The sequence below is a fragment of the Homo sapiens genome, chromosome 2, assembly GCF_000001405.40.
Source record: "Homo sapiens chromosome 2, GRCh38.p14 Primary Assembly".
Classification (NCBI taxonomy): Eukaryota; Metazoa; Chordata; class Mammalia; order Primates; family Hominidae; genus Homo; species Homo sapiens.
Window position 1 is genome coordinate 738,811 of NC_000002.12, and position 25,622 is coordinate 764,432.

A 25,622-nucleotide genomic window follows, 5' to 3' on the forward strand; every position below is an offset into this window, starting at 1 on the left:
AGAGTTCTGACAAAGTTGATTCTGACCGTTTTGCTCAGTTTTTTCAGTGATTCTGTGAAGGGACAGACCTTGGATTTTCCTCTCTGCTATTTTTGCAGACATCAGTGATTCTGTTGATCTTTGGTCATTACACAGTCCTTATTTTCCGGAATACACAGCCTGATCACAGTGTGTTATTCTGATTTAAAATTTCACTGTATGGTGATTTGTTAAACTGTTTAGCTATTTTTACATTTCTTGGGAAATTTTGGAAAATTTCCCCCAAAAAACAACTTTTTGGGGAAAAATTAAATGATAATTCTTTCTTGTAGTGAACTCCAGGTTTCAGCATCCATGCTATTCTCTCCCCAAAACATTAGGCGAGAATCGTTTCCTCTTTTCCTATCCTGGGAAGATGAGATGTGAGCTGAGCCCTATTTCTTTTACACACTTAGAACAATTTTTCATGAAAGCCATTTAGACCTGGATTTTCTTTACCGCTAGGCTTCTAATTATGTTTTGCTTATAATTTACATTATTTTAAATTAACAAATCATAATTGTATGATATTTATGGAGCACAATGCGATGCTATGACGTATGTTTTCAGTGTAGAAGGATTAACTCAAGCCAATCACACACTGCGCCTCACATACTTGCTGTTTTGGGGCCATAGATTTGAAATGTGTCCTCTTAGTGCCTGTGACATACACGTGCGTCATTGCTGTGCAGGAGGCAGGGGAATGGGGGGCCAGGGAGTGGGGAGCTGGAGTCACAGGACCCAAAGTGACAGGTGCATGGAGGAATGAGCTTTTTATTTATTCATTACTTTCATGTCCCCATGCAGCAGTCACAGAAAAAAAAAACATGTAAGTAAGAAAAATTTTGAATGTAAACTAGAGAGTAGTTAGTGGCCCTATTGTAGACTAAATAATGGCCTCCTACAGATACCCATGTTGCAGTCGGCGGAGCCTGTGAATGTCCCTTCCACGGACCCTGCAGGTGGGCTCAGCGAAGGGCCTGAAGATGGGAGCTGACTGTCCTGGGGGGTCCACTGGAATCGCAGAGGGCCTCGTCAGAGGGAGGCAGAGATCGGAGTGAACCAGCCGCAAGCCAAGCACTGCGGGCACCAGGAAAGCTGGAGAGGCAGCGAGGATCTTGGGTTAGAGCCTAGTGAGGGGGCGCGGCCCAGCCAGGAAGGCAGCCAGGATCTTCCCTCAGAGCCTAGCGAGGGGGCGCGGCCCAGCCAGGAGAGCTGGAGAGGCAGCGAGGATGTTCCCTCAGAGCCTGGCGAGGGGGCGTGGCCCAGCCAGGAGGGCGGGAGAGGCAGTGAAGATCTTCCCTCAGAGCCTGGCGAGGGGGCGCGGCCCAGCCAGGAGAGCTGGAGAGGCCCGGAGGATCTTCCCTCAGAGCCTAGCGAGGGAGCGCGGCCCAGCCAGGAGAGCTGGAGAGGCAGCCAGGATCTTCCCTCAGAGCCTGGCGAGTGAGGGCGGCCCAGCCAGGAGAGCTGGAGAGGCAGCGAGGATGTTCCCTCAGAGCCTGGCGAGGGGGCGTGGCCCAGCCAGGAGGGCGGGAGAGGCAGTGAAGATCTTCCCTCAGAGCCTGGGGAGGGGGCGGGGCCCAGCCAGGAGAGCTGGAGAGGCAGCCAGGATCTTCCCTCAGAGCCTGGCGAGGGGGCGCGGCCCAGCCAGGAGAGCTGGAGAGGCAGCGAGGATCTTCCCTCAGAGCCTATCTAGGGGGCGCGGCCCAGCCAGGAGAGCTGGAGAGGCAGCGAAGATCTTCCGTTAGAGCCCAGCGAGGGGGTGTGGCCCAGCCAGGAGGGCTGGAGAGGCAGCGAGGATCTTCCCTAAGAGCGTGGCGAGGGGGCGTGGCCCAGCCAGGAGAGCTGGAGAGGCAGCGAGGATCTTCCCTCAGAGCCTGGCGAGGGGGCGCGGCCCAGCCAGGAGAGCTGGAGAGGCAGCGAAGATCTTCCGTTAGAGCCCAGCGAGGGGGCGTGGCCCAGCCAGGAGGGCTGGAGTGGCAGCCAGGATCTTCCCTCAGAGCCTGGCGAGGGGGCGGGGCCCAGCCAGGAGAGCTGGAGAGGCAGCCAGGATCTTCCCTTAGAGCCCGGCGAGCGGGCGCGGCCCTGCCTACACCCCGACTTCATCCCAGTGAGGAGGACGTCGGACTTCTGGCCTCCAGAGCTGTGAGAAAATACATTTGAGATGTTCAAGCTGCCCAATGTCTGGTCATTTGTTACAAAAGATATGGAAAATCAACGCACCAGTAACTGGAGAAAATTGATCACGACTGAAAGGCAGTGGGCAAAACGTACTGTTGTAGGTCAGCCCAGACCAGAAACTGTAAGTCTATCAAACAGGCGGAGAAAAGCGGCCACCGTTTTATTCCTCAAGAATTGCACAGTGTTTATTTAAGTCAGCAACCCTGTGGAGCAGATTTAAATTTTATACAATTTCTAGACATACGGCATGCACCCACACGTGTATAATCATCATGCATGCATTATGTATGCATATGTGTGGAGGGACATATGCCAGTGTACGTGTGGGTGGGTACAATGAGAAAAGATACAGGGTCTTTAATTATGGAATTATCCAAGTTTCTATTCTTCTCAGAAATCACCATAATGTTTTGGGAATTCTCCCAGACTGCTTCTTGCACTGAAAGTTGTTCAAAATTCTGTTAGAAATTCTCTATATTTTGTCTAAAAATATGCTTCCCATATTGATGTGATACAAGTGAGGAAGAAATTACAAAATATTCACTGAGTAAAATAGCAATTTAAATGCATTGAATTAAATTGAGGACCTGAAAACCTAAACACAATTTTTCCATTGCTTGGTTTATGTGAAACTGGACCTGGAGGTTTTTGTTTTGTTTTTTCCTTCCCCGCCAAAGGAGGAGAGGGTTCAGCTTGGTGCATTGGAAAAGTTTTGTAAAATTATGTCTTAATGGTTTCTGTCAGATTTGGAAAGAATCATTGGCAGTCTAGGGAAAAGTGGATTTACACAAGGTACCGAAATTACCAGGTGATAGAGAAGACGTTTAAATTTGTGGGCCCTCACTCTGAGTTGAGGAAGGGGCCCCTGGTGTTTTTACGACGCACACTTTCTTACTGCTGTACCTGCTGTGGAATCTAGTGAGATTCTAAGTAGTCCTATTTAATTGTGAGTCAATAGTGACTTGCTGGGTGCGGTGGCGACTCCCACGGCGGATGGCTGGGTCGAGAGCACATCTTTATTTTCTCTCTAGATCATTCTTCTTCCTATTTTGATTTGAGAAAGGGAACGTGAGAATTAGGTCAACCAGAGTGTTTTCCCAGTAAGTGTTGAGGCAGGCGTTTGCAAGGAGCAGTATTGGAAGCGTTTCCGGAGTTTTCCAGTGTGTTCGGGTTTCACCTGCATGTCAGGGTTCGTCACCGTCACAGGAACCCTGGGTCATTTTGCCAACTCAGTAGAACGGGGCTAAAATGTAAGAGAAGTAACTTTTATTTTGAGAACATGCTCAAAAGTCTAACAAAATGCACACAGGGGATACAGAAAATAGAATGTGGCAAGGTGGGAGTCTGTGGAGGGAGTGGTGAGTAAATTGTAATCCGTCTTGGAGACCGTTTCCAAGTTTACACTACGTGAAGCGGACGGGGTTTGTGATGCACACAGGGCACAGCCCCCAAGCCCGGGTTCTCCATCGCTTAGTGGGAATGCAGCCTCTGTGTGGTTTCAAGAATGGACATCTGAGTTCTGGCCTGTGTCCATTTCAACATATTCACTGTTTGAAAGTGAATATTCAGTTTGACTCGTTTAATTTCAGAAGCACTGAGAACTGAACTTAGAACAGAAGAGCACTCTAAATAGAGAGAAGAGAGGAGATTGTTGAGGCAGATGGAAAGCATCACAGGAGAAGTGTGTGGCCCTCGCCTGTGGAGGTGAAGCTCCAGCAAGGCTCCATCTTGAGTTTTTTTAAATTTTGAGTAGTAAAGTGATTCACTAGATGGATTGCTAAAAGCAGTTCCCATTTTATGTTTTCTTTCTTTGGTATTCCCAAAATGCAAAAAAAGTATGTCTTAGGGCCGATATCCCCTTTTGAAATTACATCGTTAGGATTTCTGCCATCTTTGGAACCAGGTAAATATTTAATCCAGAGGTGTATCATGAAACACAGGACAGTGACTGAAGGAGAAAAGAGGTGTTTTCTGGGAAACAATTTTATGTAGCTAACTTTAAAGAAAGTCAGTACTTAGAAGTAAAGGAATAGTCCTTAGACTACACATCACAACTATAATCTATAAAACAATAAGCCTATAAATTAGACTCCACCAAAATTAGAAATATTTGTTCTGTAAAATGCCTTATTAAAAGAACAAAAATAAGATCTACAGATGGGGGAAAATACTTGCATATACCACATCTGAAGGAGGGCTTATCTGTGAAATATATAAAGAACTCTCAAGATGCAACAGTAAAATATAACAATCTAACTAGAAAATGGGCAAAAGATTTGGAGAGATATTCCAACACAATTAATACGGGAATGGCGAACACATGAAATGACTGCATTGTTACCCACTAAGAAAATGCAAATTAAAGTCATAGTGGGGTGTCACTGTATGCTTGTTAAAACAGCTCAAATAAAAAGAAAGACACATAAGTCCTGGTGAGAATGTGGATAAACCAGATCTCTCTTACACTGCTGGCAAGAATGCAAAATGATGCAGCCACTATAATGAACAATTTGGCACATAACATAATTATTTGAAAAGAAAAGACAGAAAATAGAGGTAGACAAAAAGCATTATTATAGATAAAGAATGCCAGTACATACTAGTAAACATGAGACCCACTAGGAATGATAAACAATTCTAAATATTTTCTCATCTAATAATATCACCTCAGTATGTTTAAAGCCCACAGATTGATAGAATTCCATGGTTATATTAATCAATTGTCACATTGGGGAGATTTAAATATCCCTCAATTTTGATAATAAAAGATAGTCAAAAATACAAGACTTAAACAAGGCAATTAAAACTTTGATTTATTGGGCATACAAATCCAAATTAGAGAATTGATTTTCTAAAATCCTTAAGAATACTATACAAAATTCACTATGTATTTTGCTATAATACAAGATTAAAAGGATGTTTCTGAAAAAGTGTACTTAAAGGACAATAACTAAAGATAAATGAAACCTCCTATTTGGCAATTAAAATAAACTCTTCTACACGTTAATCAATCATAAGATAGACACAATGGAAAATTTTAAGATGTAAGATTTGTCTAGCAATGAAAATACTATGTATCAAAAGCTGTTATATTTAGCAAAAGCATTATTTCAAGTAAAATGTATAATTTTAAGCATTAAATGCTGATGCCAAAAAAAAAAAAAAGACAAAGACTGGAGATTGGTAAACTAAGCATCCAAAGGGTGACATTTGAAAGAATCACAGAATCACAGAATATATACTAAGTAACAACTGTGGGATATGCCATGACAGCATTTTTAACCAGTTTGACAATCTGCTTCATGATTGGCATGTTTAGACATTTTCATTTAATCACTTAGAGGGTTTGATTTTTTCCATCGCAAATTTCATCCACAAATATCATTTCCTTTGTTTTCTATTTACTTCAGTTGTTCTTCATGATTCTTTCCTCTTTTCCGCATTCTTTTGGATTGAACGTTTTAATTGTTTTATTGTGTCATTTTTGTTGACTTATCAGTAACCTTTTCCTTCCATGTGTAACCATATTGGGATCTATGACTTTCCATGGGCAGCCATCAGGTGACCTTCGATGAATTCCCTCCCGGATGGGAGGGTCATGGTCGCCCTCTTCCCTTCTCACCTCCGGGATGGGAAGATCATGGTTGCACTCTTCCCTTCTCGCCTCCTTGTGTGGAACTTACACAACCATTGTGGATTTTTAATTTACACTCCCACCAACAGTGTAAAAGTGTTCCTATTTCTCCACATCCTCTCCAGCATCTGTTGTTTCCTGACTTTTTAATGATCGCCATTCTAACTGGCATGAGATGGTGTCTCATTGTGGTTTTGATTTGCATTTCTCTAATGACCAGTGATGAGCTTTTTTTCATATGTTTGTTGGCTGCATAAATGTCTTCTTTTGAAAAGTGTCTGTTCATATCCTTTGCCCACTTTTTGATGGGGTTGTTTGATTTTTTCTTGTAAATTTGTTTAAGTTCCTTGTAGGTTCTGGATATTGGCCCTTTGTCAGATGGATAGATTGCAAAAATTTTCTCCCATTCTGTAGGTTACCTGTTCACTGTGATGATAGTTTCTTTTGCTGTGCAGAAGCTCTTTAGTTTAATTAGATCCCATTGGTCAATTTTGGCTTTTATTGCAATTGCTTTTGGTGTTGTAGTCATGAAGTCTTTGTCCATGACTCTGTCCTAAGTGGTATTGCCTAGGTTTTCTTCTAAGGTTTTTATGGTTTTAGGTCTTAGGCTTAAATCTTTAATCCACCTTGAGTTAATTTTTGTATAAGGTGTAAGGAAGGGGTCCAGTTTCAGTTTTCCACATATGGCTAGCCAGTTTTCCCAACACCATTTATTAAATAGGGGATCCTTTCTCCATTGCTTGTTTTTGTCAGGTTTATCAAAGATCAGATGGCTGTAGATGTGTGGTGTTATTTCTGAGGCCTCTGTTCTATTCCATTGGTCTATATATCTGTTTTGGTACCAGTACCATGCTGTTTTGGTTACTGTAGCCTTGTAGTATAGTTTGAAGTCTGGTAGCATGATGCCTCCAGCTTTGTTCTTTTTGCTTAGGATTGTCTTGGCTATATGGTCTCTGTTTTGGTAACTTGGAACATTTTTCTCCAAGCATCTGCTTTCAGCATCTTTCTCCATCTTTATGGATGACAATTACCAATATATCAGGTTGCTTGGACTTGTCCACAGATCATGATGCTCTTTTCTTTCTTTCTGTTTCTCTCTCCTATAGCATCTTTTTTTTCTATGTACATTGACTGTGTGTACTTTGTGTTTCATTGTGGTTAGTTTCTTTTGCTGTGTCTCCAACTTCATGCCTATATGCTTCTGCAATGTGTAATCTGTTGTTCCTCCCATCCACTGTAGTTTTCATTTTAAACGTTGTAGCTTTTTTCCTCTAGAAGTTGGGTTTGAGTCTTTTATATATCATGAGTGTCTCTACTTAACTTTTGGACATACCTAATTCAGGTATAGTAATTTATAAATGTATTTGATAATTCTATATCTGTGTAAATCCTGGGTCAGTTTTTATGAATTTAATTTTTTCATCATCATATTATCACATTATTTAGAGATTTTAACTTTAATATTCCTGACTTCTTTTATCATGGGGTTTCTTGTATGCTTCATGAGTTAGAGCATCCTTCAGAAATCTTAAAAACTAATCAATGCATGAAAACTACCGGTGGAACAAAAAGGTTCAGCCACAGAAAACCACAGCATCATTTTGGTTTTAATATTTTTTTCACCCCCCTCCCCCCGCCCCACCACCAACAAATGTTATGTTTTGCGTTTTGGAAAATTTGTTTCTTAATTATAAAAACACACAATTTATTTTTCACATTAAAAAATTACATTGTTTAATGACAGAAACTCATGAATCCACAGTCACTCGGGGTCTGTCTGCTGGGCTCCACCAGCAGCAGCTGCACGCTCCCTGTGTGAGGATTCTGAGGTCCTCACATAGGGCAGGACACAAAGGTGAAGATGTGCTCTGTTCTACCTGCTTTGGTAGAAGTGGCATAGCTTTTCCCCTTGCAGTCTATCGGCCAGAAATGGCCACGTGGCCTCACCCACAGCAAGGGAGGCTGAGTGTATGGGGAACAATGTGGGGTGTTGTCGTCACAGCAGCTCCGCGGACAACACCTTCAGATCCTCAGGAGAAAGGAGCGATGCCGTAGTCATTAACTCATCTGTTTTCTCAACCTCAGCTCTAATCCATCAGGACATCGTATTGCCTCTACCTTTCAGATGTACCCAAACTTCAGCCACCCCTCGTGACCTCAGCCATTCTGGCCTGCGTCACAATAATCTCCATCTGGACTCCTGACGAATGTGCAGACTCCCTTCTCAACACTGGCCAGATATCTGCTGTGTCAGGCCAGACCCCTTCTCTACTCAAACCCTGCAGCATTTCCCTAGTTAAAGCAGATTGCCAAGGCTCTCCCAGAGCTGGGTCATGACCTGTAGAGATGGCATCTGAGCAAATTCTGATACTTAAAAAAAATTTTATTCTCCTTATTTTCATTCCACTTGAACCAAACAGCTTCACTGAGCATGCAGGACACAGGTCAGAGCCTTACCCTAGCTGTGCCTTTCTCTGGAATGTTCCTTTCCGAGGCAGCTCATGTCCACATCTGAGTGTAATGGAGGCTCAGACGTCACCTCCACAGGGATGCCCACCCTGACTGCACACTTAGCCTCGCAGCCTTGCTCACAACTGTGTCCAGGATCCCTTATTCTTACATACATAGTACCTTTTATCATTTAATTCCTACTCCACTTATTTATTGCAATTTTTATTGTTACTGACCTGTTTTATTACCCATCAGATTGTAAGTTCTACAGACACAGGGGAATTTGTCAGTAAGTGTATTATTGAATTCCAATCACTGGAATAAGACCTGGAAATACTTGGTACTTAATATATGTTCATTGAATGAATAAATCTCTGAGAAAAAATAGGGCAGTTCTGTTTCCTGATGCCCTAAGACATGTAGAGAATGCTACCCAAGGCACCCATTAATCATCGAGATAAAACGTTTAGACTCCCCTGAAGTTTTCGCCTATAGTTTACCTTTATAATTTGCTTCATTTTCAAGGCTGCCTTCACCCTTCATTTATTCGGATTTTTCCTTAGGAAAAGAGATCATGGGAAGGCATATCGGGGACGGAGCCCACGCTTCAGGGCCATTCTGCTGGGCTTTCCTACAGTGACCTCACCATCACCACCACCACCGACAACGACATCACAGCCCCGACCTCACCATCACCACCACCAATGACAACACTACAGCCCTGACCTCACCATCACCACCACCAACAACGACATCACAGCCCTGACCTCACCATCACCACCACCAATGACAACACTACAGCCCTGACCTCACCATCACCACCACCAATGACAATGACATCACAGCCCCGACCTCACCATCACCACCACCAATGACGATGCTACAGCCCCGACCTCACCATCACCACCACCAATGACAATGACATAACATCCCCGACCTCACCATCACCACCAATGACAACGACATCACAGCCCCGACCTCACCATCACCACCAATGACAATGACATCACAGCCCTGACCTCACCATCACTACCACCAATGACAACGACATCACAGCCCCAACCTCACCATTACCACCACCAACAACAATGACATCATGGCCCACAGGTGGCCAAACCCTTCAATCACCTGCAAACCAGCGACCCTCACTTTTGCTTCTGAAACTTATAAAAGCAAAAACAAAAAAACAGATTCTCAAACCCAAACCGTGGCAATTCTGGTTCAGCAGGTGTTAGTTGAGACCAGGCACTTTCATTTAAAATCACTACAGAAGTGTTTTTATGCACATCCAAAATTGAGAACCCCTGTGACAGCTCCTTAATATTCCCAAAGGGTTATTTAAGACTTACACATCTTTAAATGTGTGAGTACACAATGGTCGATGATCCTGCAATTCTCATTTATAAAAAGATGGCAGTCGTATCCAACTCCCGAGACGGCGAACCCGCACCATTTCCATGCGCGCTCTGTGCACAAGGCTGGCCTCACGTTGGCCAGCGACTCCCTCCCGGCGAGTCAGTTCTCAACTTGCTTCAGCAGAGGTGCATATGGTAGGGAGTGGCCCAACCTTTGGGATGGCCAGAGATCATCAGACCTGTGGGTCCATGTGCCGTTTGCTGTCATAAGTTCCTGTCATAACTCCCTGTGCGCCCATTTTGTTGGATGTGTTCACACTGTATTTTAGTTGCCAATGACTATATTTCAGTGTGTCTGCATAGAGGGCTGTGCTCTGTATTTCAGCATGTCCGCATGGAGAGCTGTGTGTGTTTCTATATTTCAGCGTGTCTGCATAGAGGCCTGTGGGTGTCTTCATATTTCAGTGTGTCTGCATAGAGGGCCGAGCTCCGTATGTCAGCGTGTCTGCATAGAGGCCTGTGGGTGTCTTCATATTTCAGTGTGTCTGCATAGAGGGCTGAGCTCCGTATGTCAGCGTGTCTGCATAGAGGCTGTGTGTGTCCCCTTAATCTTTGTTACTCTAGTTTTCAGATATTGTCTGGAACTGGAGAAGCCCCACATTTTATGATGGATAAATAAATAAAGGTTAAACGCAGGGCTGCGGAGCTCCGTTGCCTTCCTCGTAATTCTGCGAGACTCTGCGATATACTTTTCAGGGAGCATCACATTAGCTGTCACACACTGAGTGTCAACCAAAGCCACGCAAGGTGGCCTAAAATTAACGAGCTCGTTATGGAGGAGCCTCCACTAACGAAGTCAACAAATGCAAACTGGTTTGGTAACCTTCTGTAAAGAAAAGATCCATCATTGGTTAATATTTATTGTATAGATTATGGCAAAATTTAAAAAATAAACAGTATTTACTGAAATTTTATACATTGTATTTGTTCACTCATGATTTCAACATTTATTATCTCGTGTGCTCCAGACACCGGGCTGGTGACACCAGGGTCCAGATCACACTTTCCCTGTCCTCGCACTGGGGGGAAAGAAGAATAAATACCTTTATCTAAAACATAGTTACAAATAATAGCAAATCCTTTGAAAGGAACAAAACAGAATGAGATGGGTGTCTTACATCTGATGTGGGTGGGACAAGTCCTCTCTCAGGAGGAAATATTTTGGGCCAACTCTTCCTTGCCTTGGCAAATATGACTTAGTGAAGTAATGGATTTTTCATGCAGGGTGTTGAAAGGCTCAGGGTGCTCGCCCACATCAGTGAGGGAGGTGCAGCTGATGAAGGAAGTGCTGGGTGCAGAAGGGGATGCTCTGAAATGGTGGCTTCTGTTTGCAGTTTCAAAGCTCAGGTAATTTTCTTGTGCTTTATCTACTTATGCCTAAATTCAGAGGAAGGATAAAGAAAAAACAAACAATAATATTGAATTCTACTTCGGGTGAGACATTATGCTTGTTGCTTTTATGTCTGTCATCTACTTAGATCATAAAAACCCCGTGTGGTCTGACACATTATTTCTAGTTTACAGGTGAATAAATTAAATTCATAGACTAATATTACCTGAGTCCTAGAAATGGGCTTTAACTCAGGTATTGCTGACATCTAGATCAGTGCAGTAGAACTTTAGTTAATTCCAGTTATAAAATAGCTATTAATTAGGGTTTTCATTGGCTTAAATGTTTAAAACTGAGTTGTCACCTGTTTATTTTATTTTATTTTATTTTATTTTTGAGACAGGGCCTTTCTCTGTTGCCCAGACTGGAGTGCAGTGGCGTGATAGCAGCTCTCTGCAGCCTCAAACTCTTGGGCTGAAAAGATATTCCCATTTCAGCTTCCTGAGTAGCTGAGACTACAAGTACACATCACCACACTTGGCTAATTCTTTTTTTTCTTTTTCTGAGACAGAGTCCTGCTCTGATGCCCAGGCTAGAATACAGTGGCACGATCTCAGCTCACTCCAGTCTCCACCATCCCAGGTTCAAGTGATTCTCCTGCCTCAGCTTCCTGAGTAGCTGGGATTACAGGTGCCCGCCACCACACCCAACTAATTTTTGTAGAGACAGGGTTTCACCATCTTGGCCAGGCTGGTCTTGAACTCCTGACCTCGTGATCCACCTGCCTCTGCCTCCCAAAGTGCTGGGATTACAAGTGTGAGCCACCACGCCTGGCTGGATAATTTTTTATATACGTTTTGTAGAGACAGTGCCTTGCTATGTTGCCCAGGCTGATCTTGAACTCCTGGCCTCAAGCAATCCTCTCCCTTCAGCCTCCAAAAGCCCTGAGATTACGGGCCTGAGCCACCATGCCCGGCCAGTTTTGTTTTTTATCTTAAATGTGTATTTGTGAATTATTTTGCAATGGTTGGCGGGCTCACAGACCCTGAAAAGGCTTGTACTTTTGGTAGAAAGGCATGAGCAACACACAAAAATATCTGCAAACAGACATGGCTTTTTTCCTCAACATGTTCTAAATCATTTGAAAACTTTTAATTTTCAAAATTAAAGGCCTGAGTAAAATTCCAGCTGACAAATCCACCTCTTATTCTCCCTTGGTAATTAATCATGAGATGGTAAACACAGAAGACCTTCAGTGAAGTTGAAGCCTTTACTATACGAAGGTTCTAGTGAGGGGAGTGCAAAGTGGGGCCGCAGGACAGACACCTGCTCTGATGACCACGGAACATGGCGTGGTGGAGTCAATGTGTGGAAACTCAGCAATGGTGTGAGTCTCGCGTGGAGCTGCCGACCCATCGCTTCCTCATGGGAAAGATTTTTCCACTTGGGCTCCACTTATCGCACTCAAGAAACACTGGATATTCTGGGAAACTCTTGGAGGGCAGGCAAAAACCATCCTCCCTCAGACATGGAGCATTGACTAAGCTGCTTGTACCTGGGCAGTGTCTGTTTTAAGTATTAACTAAAAATCATTTCCAAGGGAAGCAACATAGGAAACAGGAATTAAAAATGCAAATGCTGAATGCTGTGTGTGTGCACATTTGAAGGGGCCAGACCACTCTCCACTTTGATTTATGCGTAAACGCAACTATCCCTCCCTGTACTCACCCCTTAAGCCCACATGACCGCTGAACAATGACCCCAGTCAAATCTCAGCCACTCCTCTTTCCTCACTCAAAAGCCACCATGGCCGAGTTCCTCGGGTCTAGCTGCTGCTCTGGGCTTCCGATGGCCTTGAAACCCCATGTTTGTCCCTGTGCTTCTGTCAAGTCATTTTTCCACAGCGTTCTGGGGCCACAGGTGAAGGGTGAGGCATCTGCAGGTGTTGAGGTGCCTGCAGGGACCTCTCAGGGGACGCCTGCTGGTGTCTGCGTGGCGTGAACACTGTTCTATTTGGACCCAGCCTGGGAATGACCTTAGGCCACTTACCTGTCCTCATCTACAACAGGGACTTTTAATATCTGGGATAGAAATGCTTTTGTTCTGTAGGTTTTGTTTATGGTGTTATGATTGTATGTTTATTATCCATTAATTTATTTATTCAAAATATCATTGAGCAAATATTTGCTTCCAAATATTCCATTAGATATTTCATATATATTCTATTATTTAATTCTCATAATATTATGGGATGGTGAGAACGTGCAAAAATGGAGGTTGGAAGTAGCGAGTCGCCCAGTCACACTCGACTCCTAAGGAAGACAATTTAGATTGAATCTGGGTCTTCTGATGAAAAATCTACTTTCTCCTATTCATATTGTTGCCATTTTATGGCATATTATGTTTTTATAATCCTAACAATTTATTAACATATAAAACCTGACACACAACAGCAGGCACGAGGGTAACATAGCAGATGCCGGTAGCACCATCACGGTTCCACGTCAGCCGTCCCCCAGAGGCTGCAAACTCCAGTTTTAAGATAGAATGTTTTTTCCTGCTCCTCTATCCCAGTACGTGAAATTCCTACATGGCGATCCACACCCTATGTCTCCCTCCTGAAGGTGTCATGATCCACGCCGACCCTGGGTAACCCTGGGTAGAGGCTGAGTGAGTTCCAGTGGTGACTGGGAGAAAATCTCCCTGTGATGGGAACTGGGCTTCAGACTTACTTGTTCCAGAGAAAATAATGTGACTCTTCGTGTCTTCCTGAGTTTATCTGTGAAACTGGCCAGTGTTTACTGAGTGTAGCACATGCAACCTGCACTTCTGGGCGCTGGAGACACGGGTGAGCACGTGACAAGCACACGCCCGCTCTGACCCACCGCGGGGTGGGACACACCTCAGAGTCATCATGATGAAGAAAATGCCAGAGAATTTTGTCTGCCCTTAATTTCTTATTAAATCACCCTAAAGGTGGGCATCCCCAGATCTTTTGGAAGACATCCATGTTCTCCAGGTAGAAGCCTCTGTTCTGTTTGGTCAGGAAGAGGTGTCCTGCTCTGGCCGTTCCAATATTCAGGAAACAGGTTCCTGTGTTGGGCTTCTCTCCCTTCCGTTTTTAGCCTTCTTTGCTACTACTCATCACCTCGGGCCAGGTTAGTACTTCCCTTCTCCATAAAGACATTCTTAGGGCATCTGCCTCGATGACACTCTCCCTTCCATGAGCATCTATTGCTCAGACATCTTTTCAGCAATACTAGAGTCTGGCCATCATACCAAATGCTAGGAGAAACTTAATACCCACATTTAAGAAGTGCACCATCAAATGTGGAAAACAAATGTTTAGACACATAATCTGCTATGGACATTTCATTGAAAGTGGATACAAGGTGAAGAGGGAGAAAGAGGAAGTCCACCCTGTCCATCCAAAAGGAGCTGACGGAAGGCTAAGTGAACACCACCTGAGTTCTGAAGGAAGCGCGGGATGCACCTGCAGGAGGCGGCTGGAGAGGGGTGCACAGGCTCCACACGTATCCGCTTGGTCCCACGGGTGCTGCCAGTGAGGCCAGCTGTAGCCAGGGGTAATCTGATGTCATTGCCCTTGTTCAAGACAAAGCAATGATGAGGTTGGCATTTAATGTCATCAATAGCAATTAGCTGCATAGGAAATTAATGACCAATTGAATTAATTCAAGCATTAACTCTTTACGAATTCTTCCTCCAAATATTGAGAACGTCTTCACGGAAGTGCTTTTGTGCAGAGTTCACATGGGAAGTTTTAAGGACTTAAGATGAATTCATTGCACTTAACTACTTAGGAAATAAACTGTCTTGTACCTGGTTATGAATATAATGCAGGCAATTCCCAGTAGTCATGATATTTGCTTGCTCTTCTAAAGAAATGTGACCACTGGATCCATAGAAGAAAATGGACTTTCCTGCACTATTTTTATTTTCATATTTAAAATGTGAGAATATTGTATCTAAGCATGACAGAAATTAATTTTTCCTAATAGTTTTGAAATCTAAAGTGAAAACCACAGTCTCATTGCTTGCTATCTTATCTTTCAGGGATTTTATATTAAGTGTTGCTCAACTAATGCATCCTATTACAAAATATGAATTTAAGTTTAGCATGTTCATGGCTTAGTACTTTAAAACCCTATTTTGTTTATATCTGCTTGTTTTCCATATAAAACTTATGAATCTCTTATTTGTTTTTCTGACATTCTAAATACTTATATATTTCTATATTATTTACGCAGATATTTCCTGGGAATAGAAATTCATCTCCTGGAAGTAAACGCAATAGTAAAATCCAAATAAGGAGCTGTGGTATTTGGTGTGACTTAAGAAGTTTTTAAAATCTGGACTTTGCTCTTGTTAGCTCTGTGCACCTGAGAGACTTTGAACATCCATTTTTAAACTGCAGCTTCTCTCTATATAAATGGGCTATATGGGAATTGAACAATGAGATCACATGGACACAGGAAGGGGAATATCACACTCTGGGGACTGTGGTGGGGTGGGGGGAAGGGGAAGGGATAGCACTGGGAGATATACCTAATGCTAGATGACGAGTTAGTGGGTGCAGTGCACCAGCATGGCACATGTATACATATGTAACTAACCTGCACAATGTGCACATGTACCCTAAAACTTAAAGTATAATAAAAAAAAATCAAAGGTTAGAAAAAAAAAAGGTGAAAAAAAATAAATGGGCTATAATAATATTTAAGCACAATGTTAAGGATTCAATGGTAAAATCTAGAAGTATATATAATGTCCAGATGTATGTTCCATAAAACTTAGATACTATAATGACAAATGTGGCATATTTTTAGAAAAGTCAGTGTCTATGTAGCAGCATTGATATCCTGCATTTTCCTCCTTGAATTAAAATAGAAACTACTATGACATTTTCTGTCTACTCAGAGTGCCTAAAAACCAGTACCAGTGCCTGCATGCCAGGCTAAAGCAGGCAGCATCATCACCAGTGCCTACGTACCAGGCTAAAGCAGGCAGCATCGTCTTCAAAGTCAAATACTAGTTACTGCTGATCATTCTAGACTGAATTCCACTAAAGCAACTCGCCCAATCAGAGTTTTACAAGAAGATTTAAATATTTTATACCATTTAGAACAGTTCTAAAATCTTCAGATGTTAATAATCTAAAAACCCTCCAGGGGTCTTTTTAAGGCAGGTGACATCTAAGTAGATCTTTAAGGGGAACGATGATAAAAATGAAAGTCGGACATTGACGGGGAGAGAACTGCAGGTTCAAAGACATGAGGCATCATTATAGAGAGCATGCAGAGACCTGCAGACATTTTTCAACTTACTAGGGTTTTAAGAGAGAAGCAACTTGGAGGCATGACTTCTGGAGTGGCATGGCTTAAGAAGGCTGTGGAAACTGTTCTCCCAGAGAGGCATCCATTATTATGCTGATCAAAATCAGCAAAATCAATCATTCCAAATCACTGGAGATTGATCAAAGGGCTTACAGAACCGGAGAAGAATTTGTTAAACAAAATCTACAGATACTTGGCAAGAATAGTGGGAGGACAGGGCATTTGCTGTAGGAATTCCCTCCATCCATCCACAGTTCTGCAGTAAGGAAGAACCTCTCCAGCAGGCTGGGAAACCGGTGACCATGGGCAGTTCTCATCCTGTTCAGCACCTGGTGGGGAAGAACTGTCCTGAGTGGGTTTGGCAGCCAATGAACATGGGCAGATTTATTCTCCACAGCAGAGTTCCACACAGGCCCACATGGAGCTACTGGCAGTGCTGGGAAGGTGGTGCCTGTCCCGTCTCTAGTTCATGCTACCCAGAGAGGACCCAAAGAGATCAAGAGGAGGAGGGGTCCAGTCTCCCATCTCTGGGTCCCTAGAGAAGAGGACTCTCTAGGTAAGGTCTCTCATGCCTCAAAGATGAGCAGCACCCTTCCCCTGCCAAGGGACCCAGATTTAATTGGATCAGAGTAGAGCAAGTCATACCCCATGATCTTGTGGAAAACAGTAGGGTGATCCACAAGCAATTTGTGAAGGATGACAGTTGGATGTGATACCAACAGAGGAAGAGAAGCCACATCCTCAGCAGAGGGATCAGGGAAACAGACCATTTCAGAGACAGCCTCGCTGAAACCACAGGGTCCCTGGTGGTCAAGAAGACTGTGCATATGCCCAGAGCTCTGCCCTCTGAGAAGCAGAGGACACAGACTTCACCGAACTAGGCCAGCCAAGACACTGAACAAATGGACAGTCCCGTAAGCAAACTGGGATGGGAGGGATCGGTGTCCAGAGTTGTTATGTTATTCAAAATGCCCAGGTTTCAGCAGAAAGGTATAAGGCATTAAAAAAAATTAAAGTGTAACACAGAAACAAAAAACAACAGCTTATGCAAATGCCTTGAGAAAGGCCCCCATATTGTACTTAGCAGAGGAATACTTCACAGAATTTATGACAAATATGCTCAAAGAGCTAGAAGAAACTATGATTAAAGAACTAAAGTACATAGAAAACCCTAGACTCCATCAAACAATTATTTATAATAATAACTTCAGTATAATTGCAATCTACAAAATCAGCATACAAAATAAAATGCATTTTTATACACTAACAATAAACTCTCTGAAAAAGAAATTAAGAAACAACTCCCACCTTGGCCCATTTAACATAGCACCAACAAACACTTAGGAATAAGTTTAACCAAGGAGGTAAAAGATCAGTACACTGAACAATAAAACATTGATTTAAAAAATTAAGATACAAATAAATAGAAAGATATCCCATGAGTTATGGTCTGAATGTTTGTGGCCCCCTATATTTATGTTGAAATCTTCACCCCCAAAGTCACAGTGTTTGGAGGGGAGGGGCCTTTGGGAGGTGATGAGGTGGTGAGAGAGGAGTCCTCCTGGTTGAGGTTAGTGCCCTACTAAAAAACCTTAGAGAGTTCCCTTCCACCTCCCCACTGTGAGAACACAGTGAGAAAGTGCTATCCAGGAACCAGAAAGTGGGCCCTCCTCAGATAATGAATCTGCTGACACCTTGATCTTGGACTTCCCAGCCTCCAGAACTGTGAGAAATACATTTCTGTGGTTTATAAGCTGCTCAGTTTATGGTATTTTGTTACAGCAGCCAGAACGTATTAAGATACTGTGCTCATGGACTGGAAGAATTAATATTAAATAATTAAAATGTCCATACTACCAAAAGTGATCTACAGATTCAATGTGATCCCTATGAAAACTCCAATGGCATTTTTCACAGAAATAAAACCAAATCCTCAATTTCATATGGGACCAATTAAACAAGTAGAACAAAGCTGGAGGGATCACACCTGCCAATTTTAAGTTATATTACAAACCTATGGTAATCAAAACAGCATCATCCTGGAACAAAAACAGACAGGTTTCTTAGCAGAAACAAAAATGAAACTACCATATAATTTAGCAAACCCACTCTGGGTATTTGTCCAAAGGAAAGAAAATCAGTATGTGAAAGAGGTATCTGCAATCTTATGTTTACTTCAGCACTATTCACAATAGCCAAGATATGGAATCAACCCAAGTGTCCATCAACAGATGAATGGGTAAAGAAAATGTGGTACGCATACATCATGGAATACTATGCAGCCTTTAAAAAAGAAGGAAACTATGCCATTTGCAGCAATATGGATGAACACGAAGAACATGATGCAAAGTGAAATCAGCCAGACACAGAAAGACAAATGCTGTGTGATATCACTTATATGTGGAATTTAAAATAGTCAAACTCATGGAAGCAGAGAGTAGAATGGTGGCTTCCAGGGACTGAGGTAACAGAGCAATGGAGATGTGATAGCCAAAAGTACAAAGTTTCATTTATGCAAGATAAATAATATCTAGAGAGCTACAATACAGCACAGGGCATATGGTTAGCAATATTATATTGTATACTTAAAATCTGCTAAAGAGTAGATCTTATATTAAGGGTTATTACTAATAATAAGAAAAAGGCCAGGTGTGGTGGCTCATGCCTGTAATCCCAGCACTTTGGGAGGCCAAGGCGGGTGGATTGCCTAAGCTCAGGAGTTCAAGACCAGCCTGGTCAACATGGCAAAACCCCGTCTCTACTAAAAATACAAAAAATTAGCCGGGCATGGTGGTGGGTGCCTGTAATCTCAGCTACTGGGGAGGCTGAGGCAGGAGAATCACTTGAACCCAGGAGGCGGAGGCTGCAGTGAGCCGAGATCACACCATTGCACTGTAGCCTGGGCAACAGAGCAAGGCTCCGTCTCAAAAAAAAAAAAAAAAAAAAGACAAAACACTGACTTCCCTGAGATTTCATACTCTGGTTAAAGGGGTTGTCGTATTTCCCTGACTTCCCAGCTTCCCTGTGGTTTGTCAGTTTAGCATTTTATAGCTCTTGCAAAGAGTCCCAACCACAGAAACAGCTACTGCTGATAATAGTTCTGATAGAGCCAGCATTCACTGAGCAATGCCTTTGGGCATTGTGTATCTAATTGTTCCAAACACTTTAACAAGTGTATTGTTTGATTCCTACTGTGGAGTGATCCCCAGGATACTGGAGTGGAGAGTTGGGGAAGGAAGCCGTGACACAGCCGCCCGAGGTAGCACAGCCGCCCTGCTGCGGGGTGCACCTCCTCCCAGGCACTGGCCTATGGGTGAGCATCTCTCCTTTCCTGAATGCCATCGCCCCATCCTTGAAGCAGCTGGTCATTCCTGTCCTAAACTGGTGGTCAACAGTGCAGGGGGCACAGGGTCCCATGAGAGCCGCTGGGCTGAGTGCCTGGAAGAAGCTCAGGGGCATCTGGAAAGAGGAACTTGGGCTGGTTTGAAGGGTGAAGAATCACGCGCAGGAAACCTCAGGGATGGATGCGGCACTGTCCCCACACCTGCTGTTTGCATCCCTCATTCAACAAGCAGCTCTGTCCTCTTCTCAAAATGCTGCCTAAGCCTCAGTTCTTCGGGGAATTCAGTTTTGAAGACTAGTGAGAGGGCAAGAGGATTATTATTGCATATTCTCCAAAACAAGGCACTTTCTTCCAAAGTACATCCCATTTGTCTTTCTGCAAAATCTCTCGTTTTGATTTATCTTTCAAGAGATAACACTTGGATGAAGTGAAATTATTCTCCACATGTTCGCATACACACAGACATCTCTTATATACACATGCACATACATCTATGATATAGATTTTATTTCATATGTTAAAAAAGTGGGCAGGCACAGTGGTTTACGCCTATAATCCCAACACTTTGAGAGTCTGAAGCTGGAGGATAGCTTGAACCCAGGAGTTCAAGATCAGCCTGGGCAACATGGCGAAACGCCTTCTCTATGAAAAATACAAATAAAATTAGCCAGGTGTGGTGGTGTGTGCTTGAGTTCCAGCTACTGGGGAGGCTGAGGTGGTAAGATTGCTCCCGGAAGTTGGAGGCCACAGTGAGCTGTGGTCGTGCCACTGCATTCCAGCCTGGCCCATGGAGCAACGCCCTGTCTCAAAAACATGTATATTTTCACCTAAAAACATTACAATAGACAGGTGAAAAGAAGAGAAAACTCCCCTGCAATTTCATTACCCAGTGGTAATCACTGTTCACGTTTGGTTTAGCATATCTGTCATTTCATTTGTGCACATACATACATGAATATTTAGTTCAAAAATATAATTACAGTCTATGTAATAGTATAATTTTCTTTATAATAGCTTTAACCTATCAATTTCAATAAGCACTTTTAAGTAGAATTTTTAATAACTGCATGACATAGCAATTTATATAACCTTCCTTCGTTTGCTGCCTTTAATTTTAGCAATGGTATTGAGATGAACAGATCTGTAATATCGATATTACTGAGGATGATTTTGTAGATATGGAATGTATATATGTTTGAGAGAAAAACTGCCACAATGCCTTCCAACAATATTGCATCCCCTTCTGCACCTACAGAAATACTTCCTGAGGATTCCAGTCTCCTTTATCTAGGCCAGTCAAGCCACCGCCTCACGGGTAGCATGTGCCGCGTATGTTTGTGGGTGTGCAATGATGTCTCTATGTGATTATATATATGTGTGTGTCTATAATGTGGTCAATATTTGCCTACTTTATTGGTAAAAAGAGTAGCTTTTTATCATCTGCTATTGCCAGTGAGATTGCATTCTTTTTAAAAATATTATTTGAATTTTTGGAAATACGGCTTTAGCTTTTCTCTTTTATGCTTTTTCCCTTCCCCTGAGTAAATCCCAACTAGTTACTTCCATGCATTTCTTTTTGTTTTATTTTTCTGCTCCCTGTGGTTGGAGATCGCGCTCCACAATGAATTCTGGGCACACCCACCACAATTGGGAAATGGTAAACACAGCCGCTCACAGCACTGGACCTGCGCTTTCATGTGTGTCACTGCCAAGAACACCTCAAACTTTGAAACTTTATTTAGGTGTCCTCAGACAATTCCTTCCTCATCTGAATATTATTCACTAATTGGTATTTTCTAACAATTGTGGGATATTATCAAGAGCTCATCTTTCTAACAAAGTTATCTTTAATAGGCAAATACTGAGATATATGTAATTTCCATGGAAAAGCAAAACAAAACAAAAACAGAAACCGCCTGAAGCTTCCCTCAGTCCCTCCGATTTTCAAAGGCTATCAGCAGAGAGCTCTAGGTGCTGCTTATTCCTGCAGGGCAGGAAGCAGTTTAGTGTTTTGTCGAAAGGCCTTTTAGCTCCATGTTCTTAGGTCAAGACTATTTCTCTGCACAAATTCACCTGAAAATGCGAAGGACTGCTCTCTGCATCCTTCCAGGTGGGGCCTGAGTGCCTTCAGATGCTGCAGGGAAGCCAGGGCCCCCAGGAAACTCTTAGGATGAAGCTGATGGGCAGGCCCCAGCCCCAGGGATGTCTTGCAATCAGGTCTCTCTGTGAACTGGGGTCATGTGTCTTTGTAAATCAGTCTAGTTACTCATTGTAGTAGGTATAGAGCAAGAGCAGAAAATCATACTTTAATTTCTGTGACTATAAATTAACAACTCTAAATTTTGTTAATTTCTATTCAAAAATGCTAAAATTTCATGTAATAACAATTTGACCTTGCATTGAAACCCCAAAGTACCAAAAAATATTTCCAGGCATTAAATTTACTATCAGAATAGCTACCATCTTTTCATTGGCAAAACAGCACCAATTTTACTGGAAAAAAAAAAAACAGCCGGAGGGGCATTTCCAGAAGCTGGTGGATTGGCTGAAATTCACCCCCAGATTAATCACTGCTTTTCCTCACCCTCCCACACAGCTGGCATTTTCTTTGCCCTGTCCGACCCCAACACAAATGCCCTTAATTAACTCAATAGTTCAATAGAATTGCTATAACTCATTTTATTCTACTAGCTAAGAATTTCTCCTTTGTGGCATCTAGAAAATGGGTAAATAAACAAACAAACAAAAACACCTAAACTTAACCAGAACACGTCCCTCAAACACAGCTTAGCACCTGTTGGTTTCTACTAATTTCTTTCTTCACTGTCATTTTTTACCAAAACAAACTGGAAAGTTCCTGGAAGGCAGACGCCCCCTCCAAATCCTGAACACAAGTCCCCAAATGTCCTGACTGCACATGGAGCCCTTGGGAGAATGTTACAAGTCCACAGGCTCTTCTGTATGACTTGTGAAAGCCCTATGGATGGGTTGAAAGTGTCCACGCCCCTGAGGTGAGAAGAGTGCATCGTTCTTGTTTACCTGAGCGGGGAGCTCTGAACCCCATTCCCACCGCAGGAGCCACCCAGGTCAGCAGGGCTCACCCACACCAGGCTCAGAACACTCCCCTGGACGTCTTCACAGGACTGGGGCCTCAAGACCCCTGAGACCAGGAGTCACACACCCTCAGCTCAGTGTAGGTTTAATTTTTAAACAGCATGCTTTTAAGATGAGAGTGCCCAATAAAGCTGTTTTACTTTAGTAATTAGGGCTTTCTCCTAAAAGAATTTTGAAAACTGTTTGAAGTGCTTTCAAAGTCATCTTAATTTTAGCCTGTCTCAGAAATAGAGGCAATTTTCATAATTTTGTTTGTAAAAGTATAGACCTGTCATTCTTCTAGGCACCTTAAAGAAGTAATTTTCTTTAAAAGGTTGTGGGATCTTTTTTTCCTTCTATCATATCTCTTCAAAAAGTACTCAGTTTCAAAGAATAGATAAATATTTTATGTGTGCATTTAAAATCTCTATTTTTTAATGCTAGGACTGAGATATTTTGTTTTTATTGTTGATGGCATCTGCAGGGTGAATATGTAATATGTATTGATACATACATAGAGAAATGCACACAGATACACATGTATATGTACATGTATATGCATCTATTTGATTTTAACATCAGAGTATCTTTAGAGATCTAGCTTTTGGAAATACGATGTTTATATTCTTCAAATGATAACTGCAATTCAAGCAGAAATCCATGGTATGCAGAAGAGAACAGGAGGCAACATGTTTTTACTCATTTTTCTATCCGCTAAAGACTGGCCTACCGTGTGCGGGGTTTCATATAATCTCTCAGCAACTAAGCCAACTAATGACAGAAAAAAACAAAGGGACAATGACTAAAACCCACTAGACAATAAGGATTAATTAAATTATACATATGGTTTTATAATTAATTAACTACCAGCTCTAGTGCAGGCAAAATAATGACAGTGTAGGGGAAACTCAGAGAGACTGTAGCAATGTAACCCATGTCTAACTAAATAACCATGTTGTTTTTAAGCATTAATTTCATCAAAATTATCAAAAGCATCCACTTCTCATATATTCTTCCTCATAAGAAAAATACAGCAGACTCTGTCAATAAGCATCAAATCTAATTGGAATCACTAAAAAAAGTCAATGACAAAAAAAAAAAAATGAGCAGCTGGGGTTCAATTAGAAGTGACCTCGCCACGCTCTGTGACTCCAAGTGAAGCTGGAGCAAGTGCACAGCAGGCAATGGAGGGCCTGGTTCATGAAGAGAGGGCTCGAGGGTCACAGGAAATTGACAAGCGCTTTGATGTTATATGATTAGGTCATGAAAGTGAGTGGAGGCTAAGGATGAAAGAATTCTAACTTCAGAGGAATTTAAAGGAGGAAGAATTAAGAGAGAAACAGGCTTCTGTGAAGCATACTGAAATCTGAGAATATGTTTGGGTCATTGCTATTCAATCCACAGTCATATTTTTTACACCACTAAAGTGAAATCATTTTGTTAAAGTTTCTTTTTCCTGATGATAAAAGTCACATGGGTTTATTTTGTAATAGTTAGAAAGCATAGGAAAATACAAGATACCCTCCACCTGCACACCACTGTGCAGATGTAACCTGGGGTGAGCTCTTTCCCCTTCTGCCTGTATGTGCATGTGTGTAAATGTGTATGCATGTGTGCAAATGTGCGTGTGCAAGTGTGTGACTGTGTGTGTATTTAGGATTACAGTGCTTTGCTTTGTGTTTTATTTGCTTTCTTACAAAACATTATAGCTTGAATGTCTTCTGTAAGTAAATAAGTGAAGAGATACTCTGTGACTATGGCCAGTGAGGCTCAATTCTGTGACTATAGGAAGTGAGGCTCAATTCTGAGACTCAATATTGTCAAGATGCCAAATTTCTGGACATTTAACTGATGAGAATGAGTTTCATTTTTTGGAGTTTACTTGGCCTACCCGGGATGATAAGCACTTTCTATGCACTGTACCAGGGGATCGTCACGACAGCCCTGGGTTCTGGTGCCGCCTTGCAGGGGAGAAGGTGAAGGTGGAGCGGTAACCCGGGGTTCTGGTGCCGCCTTGCAGGGGAGAAGGTGAAGATGGAGGGGTAACCCTGGGATCTGGTGCTGCCTTGCAGGAGAGAAGGTGAAGATGGAGTGGTTAGGGGCCATTTCGAACGCTGCAGTAAGTGCCAAATCCACAGTTTGAATCGAATTCCAGAAACTCCAGAGTTTGCCTTCCGAACCAATCTGAGAATTATGCTGGTCCTCACATGCAGTCCCACGCCTGTCTCATTGGTCTCAGGCTATGGCTTTGACCATTTGGCCCCAGTGGTGACAGCACGGGTCACTCACTCACCTGTAGGAGGAACATGGACACAGCCATAGAGACCGCATCCCTGGGTTTTCCCAGAAGGACCTTGGGTATGCGGGACATGGCCCCCACAGGGCATGATCGGAATGTCCAGTACTGTCCAGTTCATTCACTCTGGAGTCCCTCCTTCCCTGGGCTGTTATAAAACTAGAGTGAGTTCATGAGCACGAGGTTATGTTTGAAAACTCAATAGTCTTGCAAAAATCCGCGCTCTATTTACTGTGTAGAAACTTCGTTTGAGAACCATGTCTTCAAAAAACAAGGCTGTGGTCAATTTTCAGCTCCTTGGAAGCTGAATGGCATTTGTCAGGTCTGTCTTGCTTTAAGGCAAGTGACTCAGGGCTCCTGGGTGTTCTGAGGAATGTAACAGAGCCAGAGTCAGCTGCTGGCAAAGCTGGCAATGAGACAGGGGCTCCAGACGGACAAGCTTCAGAGACAGAAGAAGCCTGCAGCTCCCACACCTCGGACATCCTGCCAGGCCTGGACTCTGTCTCA

At 42.8% G+C, this 25,622-nt stretch overlaps 1 long non-coding RNA gene across 7 annotated transcripts in view; it reads left to right on the top strand.

Annotated features, from left to right (window-relative positions):
- The first annotated feature begins 674 nt into the window (after window positions 1–674).
- Window positions 675–25,622, top strand: part of LOC105373480 (uncharacterized) — a 39,564-nt gene continuing 14,616 nt past the window's right edge. For 2 of the 7 annotated variants that reach the window (XR_007086101.1, XR_007086095.1), the window contains exons 1-2: window positions 2,076–4,102; window positions 10,924–11,046. This is a non-coding gene — a long non-coding RNA (uncharacterized LOC105373480). Of the gene's footprint in view, window positions 1,141–2,075; window positions 4,103–10,923; window positions 11,047–12,261; window positions 12,673–15,297; window positions 15,751–25,622 lie in introns of those variants that run through there. The other 5 variants (XR_922709.4, XR_922710.3, XR_007086128.1 and 2 more) reach the window with 5 other exon arrangements.